Below are 11,097 nucleotides of genomic sequence, written 5' to 3'. Positions count from 1 at the left end.
AAAACAATTTGAAAATAACATCGAGAACACAATTCCTTTTTCAATTACATCCAAAAGAGCGAAATTTCTAGGAATAAACTTGACCAAGGATGTGCAAAACTGTTACACTGAAAATTGCAAAACAACTTTGAAAAGAATTAATGATCCAAATAAGTGGAAAGGCAACATATATTTATGAGTTAGAAGATTTATTATTAAGATGGCAATGCTACTTAAAGTGGCCTACAGGGTTACTGAAATTCCAATCAAAATCTCAATAAGTTTTTTCTCTTTGCAGAAATGAAAGAGTCAATCCTCAGATTCACATGAAATTGCAAGAAGACCCAAATAGCTAAAGAAATACTGAACAAGAAGAACAAAGCTAGAGGACATATTCTTTCTAATATCAACATTTTTATTCCAAAGCTACAGAAATTCAAACAGCGTGGCACTTGAACAAGGATGGATGTACTGTATAGATCAATGGAATAGAATTAAAAGTTCAGAAATATACCCATACATAAATGGCCAATAGATTCTAGCAAATATGCCATGAGAATTCAATGGGGAAAAGATAGTTTCTTCAAAAAATGGTGATGGGACAAACAACTAGATAACCATATATAAAAAATATAGATATGTGCCCACACACAATATACAAAATTAACTCAAAATAGACTGGTAACTTAATATAGAATCAAATTATAAAACATTTAAAAGAAAACATACAAGTAAACTTTTATGACCTTTGATTTGGTACAAGATTTTCTGACATGACATCAAAAGTACAAACAAAAAAAATCACTGAAAAATTGGACTTCATCAAATTTAAAAACTTTGTGAATTAAAGAACATTACCAAGAAAGAGAACATAGAGCCTACAAAATGGGGAAAATATTTTCATATTATATATCTGATGAGAGACTAGTATCTAGATATATAAAGAACTAGATATATCTAGATACTAGATATATCTAGATACTAGATATATCTAGATAGATCTAGATATAAAGATCTAGATCTATCTAGATATATAAACAACTATACACAAACAACTTAATTAAAAATAGACAAAAGACTTAAATATAAATTTCTCCAAGAAACATATGCAAAGGGCAAACAAGCAAATAAAATGATACTCAATGTCATTAGTCATTAGGGAAGTGCAAATCAAAACTACAATAACTTAGCACTTTATACTCTTTAGGATAGCAATAACAACAACAACAAAACTACAGAAAATAAGTGTTGGTTAGTGTGTGGAACTTTAAACACTTGTGCATTGTTGGTAGAAATGTAAAATAATGCAATTACTGTGGAAAATAGTTTGACAGTTTTCCAAAAAGTTAAATATAGATTTACCATATCACCCAGCAGTTCTATTCATGGGTATATACCCAAAAGAACTAGTTACAGAGATTCAAAAAATACTTGCACACAAATGTTCATGGCAGCACCATACCCAATAGCCAAAAGATGGGAGCAACCTAAATAGCCATCAACAAATAGATAACAATCACAAATAAATAGATAACTACAACAAATAAATAGATGTGGCATACAGATATATACAGTCTACCCTTGAACAACATGTTTGAACTCCAAGAGCCACTAACGTGCAGCTATTCTACTGCCTCTGTCACCCATGCAACAAGACCAACCTCTCCTTTTCCTACTCCTACTCAACCTACTCAATGTGAAGATGAGAATAAAGACCTTTATAATAATCCACTTCTATTTAATGAATAGTAAATATATTTTCTCCTTCTTATGATTGCCTTAATAGCTCATCTTGTTTCTAGCTTATTTTATTGTAAGAATACAGTTGTATAATACATACAATATACAAAGTATGTGTTAATCATCTGTTTATGTTAACAGTAAGGTTTTCAGTCAACAGTAGTTCATTAGTTGTTAATTTGGTGGGGAGTCAAAAGATACATGCAGATTTTTGACCGCACAGGGGGTCAGTGCCCCAACCCCTATGTTGTTCAAGAGTCAACTGTATATATAATAGAATATTATTCAGATATGAAAAGGGAAGACTGCCGCACTGATAAATACTACAACATGGATGAACCTCAAAAGCTTCATGCTAAGTGAAAGAAGATAGACACGAAAGGTCACATAGTGTGTGAGTCCATGGGAAATAACCAGAATAGATAAATCTACAAAGAGAGAAAACAGCTTGGAAATATCCAGAATAGATAAATCCACAGAGAGAGAAAACAGAGAGAAATACCCAGAATAGATAAATCCACAGAGAGAGAAAACAGCTTGGAAATATCCAGAATAGATAAATCCACACAGAGAGAAAACAGAGAAATACCCAGAATAGATAAATACACAGAGAGAGAAAACAGCTTGGAAATATCCAGAATAGATAAATCCACACAGAGAGAAAACAGAGAGAAATACCCAGAATAGATAAATCCACAGAGAGAGAAAACAGCTTGGAAATATCCAGAATAGATAAATCCACAGACAGAGAAAACAGAGAGAAATATCCAGAATAGATAAATCCACAGAGAGAGAAAACAACTTGGAAATATCCAGAATAGATAAATCCACAGTGAGAGAAAACAGTCCCAGTAGTTATCAGGGACTGGAGAGAGGGAAGAATGAGAAGTGACTACTTCATGGATACAAGGTTTTCTCTGGGGGTGATGAAAATATTTTGACATCTGATAAAGGTGGTGGTAGTACAGCACTGTGAATGTACCAATTGCCACTGAATTGTGCATTTTAAAGTGATTGATTTTATGTGGAACAAATTTCACTTTAATTATAAAAAGTGAATAAACTTTTAGAAGCTAACCTTGGAAGAAGGTAGAGACTGGAAGGGATCACAAGAAAGGCTTCTGGGATGTTGGTAAGTACTCTGTTTCTAAAATTGGTTACTGGTTTTTAGAAAAATCAATTTGTAAAATTCTTCAAGTTCTATGCTAATGATATGTGCACTTTTCTATGTAAGTGTTTACCTAAATAAAATAAAATGCTCACTTTTACAAAAAGAAAATATTCTGAAGTATGTACAGCCATTTTCATTTAAGCAGCATTGTACAGTATACTACAATCAGTAACTGTGGCACATATGCTGTTGAGCCCTGAAATTGTTACGGCAAATCCTAAACTCTTCCCATCGCATTATGCCCTAGAGCTCACAACAGATCCCTGAGACTACTTTATCATCCACAAATTTTATACTGAGCATTTTTCTCAGCCTGACACTAAAAACCAAGACAGTTTTTGTTCTTGCAGTTTGCACATTACTAATAACCGTTGCTTATGAAAAAATTGCATTAACCAACTCATGTCCAAGTGTTGGCTGATGTCAAATATTATGGATGTTAAAAAGAAAGAACAGGATACCAACTGATCTTAAGACAATATAAAATGAACTCAGATATTGATTAATGTATTAAATTGCTAATTAGTCTTCTATCCACTGTTTCTGCAGAGCTAGAAAACGTTAAATTTTCTCTCCCTAATGGATTATCACCTTGTCTTGTCTCCAAATGCCTTACAATTATTTTTTGGGTAGCTCAATTATTCTATTATTTTTGTTTGACTTAGAAAACAGAACTAAGCAATATAGCTAATTTAAAATCTAAACATGAAAGGTATGTCTTACAAAATACACTGCCACTCTCCCAATTGAGCACCTTGCTTTCTCATTAATGCAGTTGTTTAGATGGGTGTGCTATCGGATTAGCAGGACCCTCTTTGTTTCCCTTTGTGTTGATTTTCACAACACCATCTTAGTTGGTAATTTCCCATTTTTCCCTGAGGCTGCTCAGCAAAAAAGAAAAGCTGACAACTTTCTTGAAATATTTGTATAAATCCATCTATTTTTTCATTGCATCTGTCACCTATTTGCCTGAAGGTATGCAATCACAGCTCTCTTAAAATGTTATGCCTTAGGCCAGCATACTTGTGTGGTGATCAGTGGGGTGTCTCCCAAGAGAGATGGTCACCTAGTTTCTAATTTGTGCTCCTATACAATCAGCCTGTGGGACACAAAGATACACATTCACACACAGTTGATTATATAAGTATATAAATATTTATGTTTCTGTGATTGTGGAATCTATCTATCTATCTATCTATCTATCTATCTATCTATCTATCTATCCATCCATCCATCATCTCTTTTGGAAATCTTGTACTTTTTATGTGGTATGGATGCCCGTGCTATGCTACGGTGTTTTTACATACTACTCACCTGTTACCCACAAATAGTAGGCATGAAGAAAAAACATCAACTATTACCAGGTGGATTTTAAATGCCATGTCTATGTGATGATTAAAACAATTCACATTTAGCACTGTTTGAGTAGTATGGCAACAAGATTGCTTATACAGGTCAATTTTACTTACTTATATATTAATAAAAACTATTAATACTATATGCTAGTGTCTGTAACATTAGATTTTCAAGAACTCAACAATCAAAGTCTCTGAAGACAGAGAGTTTTATTCCCTCTCTTTTATTTTCCACTGTATTCCAAAAGTTTGGAACAGTGCTTGGCAGGTAGTAGGGACTCAATAATATTTGTTTAATATGTAAACAAATCCACACATAATTAAAGTTAAGTGTGAATAATTTTTTAAGTTACATGTTTATCTGTATAAACTACTACACAAAAATACAAATCAATGAATTAAATATAATACTGATGTGAACTGTAATTAATACGTACACATCATTAGTATTTAAATATAAAATTGAGAGACTATGTACAAGTACCACTATTCTTTAGTACCCCTGGTCTCTTTACTAACACTTAGAACAGTATCTGAAGATTTTTAACGCTCAGCAAATAGATTCTGCAAGACCTGCTACAGCCAAACAAATTATATCCATCTTTATTTCACTAAGCCCACACAAATGTTCTTGGCTCCTTCAGTCTGAAAGATGAAACCTGGTGTGGCAATGCAGGACATCAGATTTGTTTCACCGATGTAATTTTGGGAGATGAAGAGGAATCAAGAAAAAGAAACCAAATTATATCCTAGTTTAAGAAAACTATACATTGAAAATGCTCTCCCATTTTTTATAGCTCCTAATAAAGCTATGGCCAAATTCCGAAGCTATAAAATAAAATAGATATGTTTTATTTTATTCTTTTATTGCATCTTCAGATTTTTCAATAGAGTGAGTCTCATATCTATATTGAATTTTATTAATGGAAACCAAACACATTTGAAATGCACTATCTCTGAATGGCTCGCTCCATTCATTCAGCCATATTAACTGAAGATAACACCAAGAACAGCATTATCCACAATAGATTTACTCTCAGTTCAATTTAATAAAAGAGTTACAAAACTTTAAACATACTCATGGATCATCCCTGCTAGAAGTTACAATACTTTGGGGGAAAAATTGATACAAGATAAATATTTGTCATAGTTCATCTCTAAAAAGTTACAACATTTTAGGAAAAATAACACACTGAGTACTTTAAAAATTACAGAAAAATCTAAAAATACAGCAAGAAAGTATTAACTTGAATATAATTAAATGCTAAAGTATATATCATAAACAATAAATTCTAAGACTAGCTAGGAGAAAGATAAATGCTACCTTGTATTGCAGGAGGAAGCTTCTTGAAAGTGGTAGAAAACTATAATGAGCATTTAAGAAGTTGAAAAACTGAGATGGAGCTGTAAATCCTAAAGGCCTGCAAAGATAAAATAAGTATTTTAGCTGTGAGAAATCATCGCTCTTAAAGTACAAACTTTTTGGAATCCCATTGTTACAGGAAAGAGGTCCAGATTCAGACCTCCGAGAGAGGGTTCTTGGAACTCATACAAGAAAGAATTCAGAGCGAGTCCATAGAGTAAAGTGAAAGCAAGTTTATTAAGAAAGTAAAGGAATAAAAGAATGACTACTTCATAGACAGAGCAGAGCCGGGGGCTGCTGGTTGCCCATGTTTATGGTTATTTCTTGATATGCTAAATAAGAGGTGGATTATTCATGCCTCCCCTTTTTAGACCGTGCAGCATAACTGTCTGACATTGGCATGCCATTTGTAAACTGTCAAAGTGATGGTTGGGAGTGTAGCAGTGAGGACAACCAGAGGTCACTCTCATCACCATCTTGGTTTGGGTGAGTTTTAGCTGGCTTCTTTACTGCAAACTGTTTTATCAGCAAGGTCTTTATTACCTGTTCTTGTGCCAACCTCCTATCTCATCCTATGACTTACACTGCCTTAACCACCTGAGAATGCAGCCCAGTAGGTCTTAGCCTCATTTTACACAGCCCCTATTCAAGATGGAGTTGCTCTGGTTCAAGCAACTCTGACATTATTAAAGCATCAAGTATTTAGCGCTCCCTGGGATGACTTCTCTGCACTGTGCTGTAGAACTCAAAATATAGGTAGGTAGAAGGGGAACAACAGTAATAGTTGTAGGCTATAACCTCTGGATCTAACCAGGGATTCTCTTAAACTCTTTCAAAACAAACTAATGAAGAGTTTTATGTTAGTGATGACTTAGTCCATTTTTTGTTGCTATAACAGAATACTTATGATTCGGTAATTTACAAAGAATAGAGGTGGATTTCTTACAGTTTTGGATTCTGGGAAGTCCAAAGTCCAGGGCACTGCTTCTGGCAAGGGACTTCTTTCAGTGTCATCCATGGCAGAAGACAGAAGGGCAAGAAAGTACATTAGAGAGAGCAGTATAATTGAACTTGAACTCACTTTCATGACAAACCCACTCTCAAAATAAGGAACACACTCCCTCAATAACAACTTTAATCCATTCATGAAGGAAGCGCCCTCATGACCTAATCTCCTTTGAAAGTCCCACCTCTCAATACTGTTGCACTGGGGATTAAGTTTCCAACACATGCTTTTTGGCGGGCACATTCAAACAATAGCAGCAGTGTGTTCATAAAGCTATATATGCATCTCACATATTTTATGTATTTGAAGATCTCTGAAAATGCTGACTTTAAAGACCACGCTATAGATAACATCCATATTAAGAGGCAAAAATCAGGAATCATACAAATTAACATTCTGTATATAATTACAATACGTTGGAGTAGATGCTGATTTATCTATAGAATTTTTGAATTTGATTCCCTGTGATTAAATCAAAGATTGTGAAATTTAAGCATGCTTGTATAGTTAAAATTTAGTTCCATATTTACAGTTATCACTGAGCAAAAGTTATGTCAAATCTATCAGCAAAAATTTTGGAAAGTTTCTTATTTTAATAATTCAAGTATTTGTGAAATTTTCTTCCTTCCTTCATCAACCATTCCTAGAACATACTAATACAATTACTTACTGTTCTACTGATAATAAGATATAAACTTGCTTTTCTTCTAAAGAGTATTTACTCAAAAAAGCAATCGACAACATTAAAGGTAATATTTAACAGCGGTCACTTATTATCTGACTATTGTAACAATCACTGTTTGATTGCAAATTGTGTAGTCAGCATGTACGTGTTTTGCCTTGAAAAATTCCCTTTTTTCTCCCATTTTAAAAACTACTAATGATAAGCATTTTAAATATGCTCAGCAGGATTTATAGCAATCAGTGTAACTATGATGACTTAGCTAAATGTATTTTTCTAGATTAAAGTGTAGCATTATTGAATTTTAATTTGTCTCTGTTTCTGATTTGTAATATAATTCTATATATATTTTAAAAATTACCTTATCACAGGTTGATTTCTCTAAGAAGTACATGCTGAAATGAAGATAAGAGTACAAAATATTTATCGGAGAGTAGTAACACAGAGGAGACACAGGATTTGGCAGAAACACTAAACCATGGTGAAGACCGGCTAAAGTCTCTTTGTCCAAAGGGGAGCTCTAAAGTAAATATGAGCCATTAAGGGAGCCCCACACTGGATGGAAATGGCCAAGCCTTTTTACAACCACCTTCTCCTTGAGACACTGCCTGCAATTCACCCTGGGAAAGCAAAACCTCAACTGTTTCTGCCTCATTCATTCTTTGTCAGTGCCGTAAGAAGATTGAGATTTCAGCTTGTAACTGTTGAAGCAAAACCTAAAGTGGTTAATAATGGGAGTTTGTCACAACTATCTTAACACAAATATAAAATATTTGCATGAACTGTAATAACCTTTTATTTATAAATTAAAAACTTATTGATAAAATACAGATTTCAATAACATTAGTAAAAAATCTTTTCACTTTTCTTAAGTAATTCAGAATAGATCATCTTTCATTTTAGTTCCTACACTTGATCCTTAGAAGAAAAAGAAACCTATTTTTTTTATAATGCAAACACTTTAGTTTAACATAAACAAGAAAAAGGGAAGACTGGCTGAGAAAAAAAAACTCTAAAAACCATCTAGCATATTCAAAAGATAATTCATGCCTTTGAGATCATTTAAGCAGTACATCACCTTTAGTTATAAAGAGAAATGTGAAACTATTTTTACAATTAATTACATCTATCAGCAGGAAATAAAATGTATTCAAAATTGACCTGTATATGAGTGATGGTTGTAACAGAGTTATTGATTTTTCCTGTTGGGAAATGCCATCCAAAACTGGCATGATCTTTTCAAGTAAACTCAAAATCCGAACAATGTCTTCAAAAGTAGGCATGTTGTTAACAATGGTCCCTGCTGTTTTCTATGAATGGGCAGTAATATTCTCTATAACATTAGCCCTTGGAAATTAAAATGTCCTTTGTTGAAAACAGAGAAATCTGTCAAAATGCTATGTTTTTTTATAAGGAACACTGCTAATCCTATAAAACGGCTTCTTCCTCTCACCTAATCACTACAATTATGCCTCTAAACTAACAGAAAGATACCAAATCTAATCTCTGACAAAGTATCACAGTGACTAAAAAGGGAATTAATGTACTTGCAAGGGAGTAGAGAGAATATACTGTATTTTGGACATTGCGCATGCTAAATTCTGTCTTAAAGTAATTTAAGAAATAAAATTTATGAAAATTCTTCTGGGAATAAATATTACACAGTAGCCTTCAAAGAGAAATTCCTTGCTGTGAGTCATAGGCATATGCAAAGGACTATTTGAAACTGCCTTAAATGAATCTTATTTAGGGAAAATTACAGACTAGAAGAAAATACGAGTTCAGAATTTGGACGAAGCTTGGAGAACAAATATTTGTATATAAACAGAGGTTCAAATAATTGCAAATCAGTTATCTCTAGGAATTGTGAAAACTACTCTGAGGAAAAGAGTGCTGGCTTGGGTACTAAGCTCTGCAGTTTTTCCTTGCTCTATTTGTATTTGTTCATGCCAAAATCACACTGTCTAAGCTAGTGAGGCTTTAGAGTAGGTCTTCATATCTGGTATCTTTTTCAAGATTGGCAGGCTTCCATATACATTTTGGAATTAGCTTTTCAATTTCTAAAAGAGACCTGCCAAGATTTTGATCAATACTTTATTGAATTTATAGATAATGTTTGGGAAAGATGATATCTTTACATGTTGTAGGTTTCCAAACCATGAACACAGCATGTCTCACATAGATAATATTATTTTCTTTAATTATTACAGCTGTGTGTGTATGTGTTCTAAACTTAATTTCAGATGTATTTCTTAGCATATGAGTTTTCTTATTATTCTAAATTGTATCTCCAAAGACTGGAAGAAAAATAATTGCAATGACTACTACTAAGAAAGGAGATAGTCTAGGGAATGTATAAAGAACTCTTATAAATGAATAAGAGAAAAGCAGCCATGCCAAAGGAAAAATGGGCAAGGTACTTGAACAGAAAATGATTAAAAGGATATTCACATGGCCAGTAAGTATAGGAAAATGTGTTCAATCTCATTAGTCTTAATGGAAATAAAAATTAAAACCATAAATAGATACCACTACATATTTGCCAGGACCAAGATGACACACAATGACAAGTATTTGTAAGGATGTAATGAAAATTCAAATACACTGCTAATCAGTGCAAATTTATATAACAACTTTGGAGAATTACTTGGTCTAATATACTAAAGTTGGACATGTTCATATGGTTTATTAGCATCCCGCTTTCCATTGACAAGGAGGTCAGCAAAAAATCACTAGCTTTTTTTTTTTTTTTTGAGATGGAGTCTTGCTCTGTCCCCCAGGCTGGAGTGCAGTGGTGTGATCTCCACTCACTGCAACCTCCGCCTCCCTGGTTCAAGGGATTCTCCTGCCTCAGCCTCCAGAGTAGCTGTGAATACAGGCCCCCGCCACCATGCCCAGCTAATTTTTTGTATTTTTAGTAGAGACGGGGTTTCACCATGTTAGCCAGGATGGTCTCGATCTCCTGACCTTGTTATCTGCCTGCCTCAGCCTCCCAAAGGGCTGGGATTACAGGCGTGAGCCACCATGCCCGGCCGACTAAACTACTTTTAAAGTACCACCTTTCAGAGTTTATCAGGTGATAAACTCTACATACTCTTTCTCATACATAATTCTGCGTCAGTTAGAATCCAGTCAGGACACATAAACCATACCAGTAACTTACATATGAAAAAATTTAATATAAAAAATATTAATTGGGAACAGAGGAATACCTACTAATGGCTAATTATGAAAGGGCTGAGAGAACGCAAGGAAGAAACAAACAAGGGAAAGAGGCTCCCTTCCCAAGGCTGAGAGGGAATCCTTCTTGGAGAGGGTGAGTGATAGCCCACTGATGCTGGAGACGTTTACTGAGTTGCCAGGACAGAGCTGTTCTGCAGCCCTGGGGCCAAGAATGACAAGTAGAAAACCAATGAGATAGTAAAGATGGTACCCTGGGTTGTACCTTGCTAGAGCTGGCTCACAGCTAGCAGATAATGCGAGATAAGCAGGAAGCTTCTACCTGGTTGCTGACAGGCTAAGGCTGCTCAGAAGGAAACCATAGGGCAAAATTGTTTGACACATTTTTTTAAAACATACAACTTTAGAAAAGGATGAGAGTGGAAGTGGATGAGGACTCAAATACACAAATGATGTATCCTTGATGGAGTAAAATATGAATTAATATTTAAATAAAGAATTTATACAAGCTGTGTTCAATTTGAAAAACCCCAAGGAAGTCTCCTAACGAATGTGAATAAAACCATTGCACTTAGAAGGGAAGTTCAATTGTGTCCCACAGAATGTAGGGTCCCTGAAGAA

The 11,097-nt window shown here is 34.2% G+C and overlaps 1 long non-coding RNA gene across 2 annotated transcripts; it reads left to right on the top strand.

Moving 5' to 3' along the window:
- The first annotated feature begins 2,569 nt into the window (after positions 1-2,569).
- Positions 2,570-8,682, top strand: LOC105375553 (uncharacterized). Of its 2 annotated transcripts, NR_187966.1 has the most exons (3): positions 2,570-2,851; positions 5,980-6,094; positions 7,668-8,682. It is a non-coding gene; the product is annotated as an uncharacterized LOC105375553 (long non-coding RNA). The 2 variants fall into 2 exon arrangements; NR_187967.1 differs by lacking the exon at positions 5,980-6,094.
- The last annotated feature ends 2,415 nt before the right edge of the window (positions 8,683-11,097 follow it).

This window comes from Homo sapiens, chromosome 7 (assembly GCF_000001405.40).
Source record: "Homo sapiens chromosome 7, GRCh38.p14 Primary Assembly".
Classification (NCBI taxonomy): Eukaryota; Metazoa; Chordata; class Mammalia; order Primates; family Hominidae; genus Homo; species Homo sapiens.
Note: the sequence above shows the minus strand (reverse complement) of the source record. Positions and strands in the feature narration are given on the sequence as shown.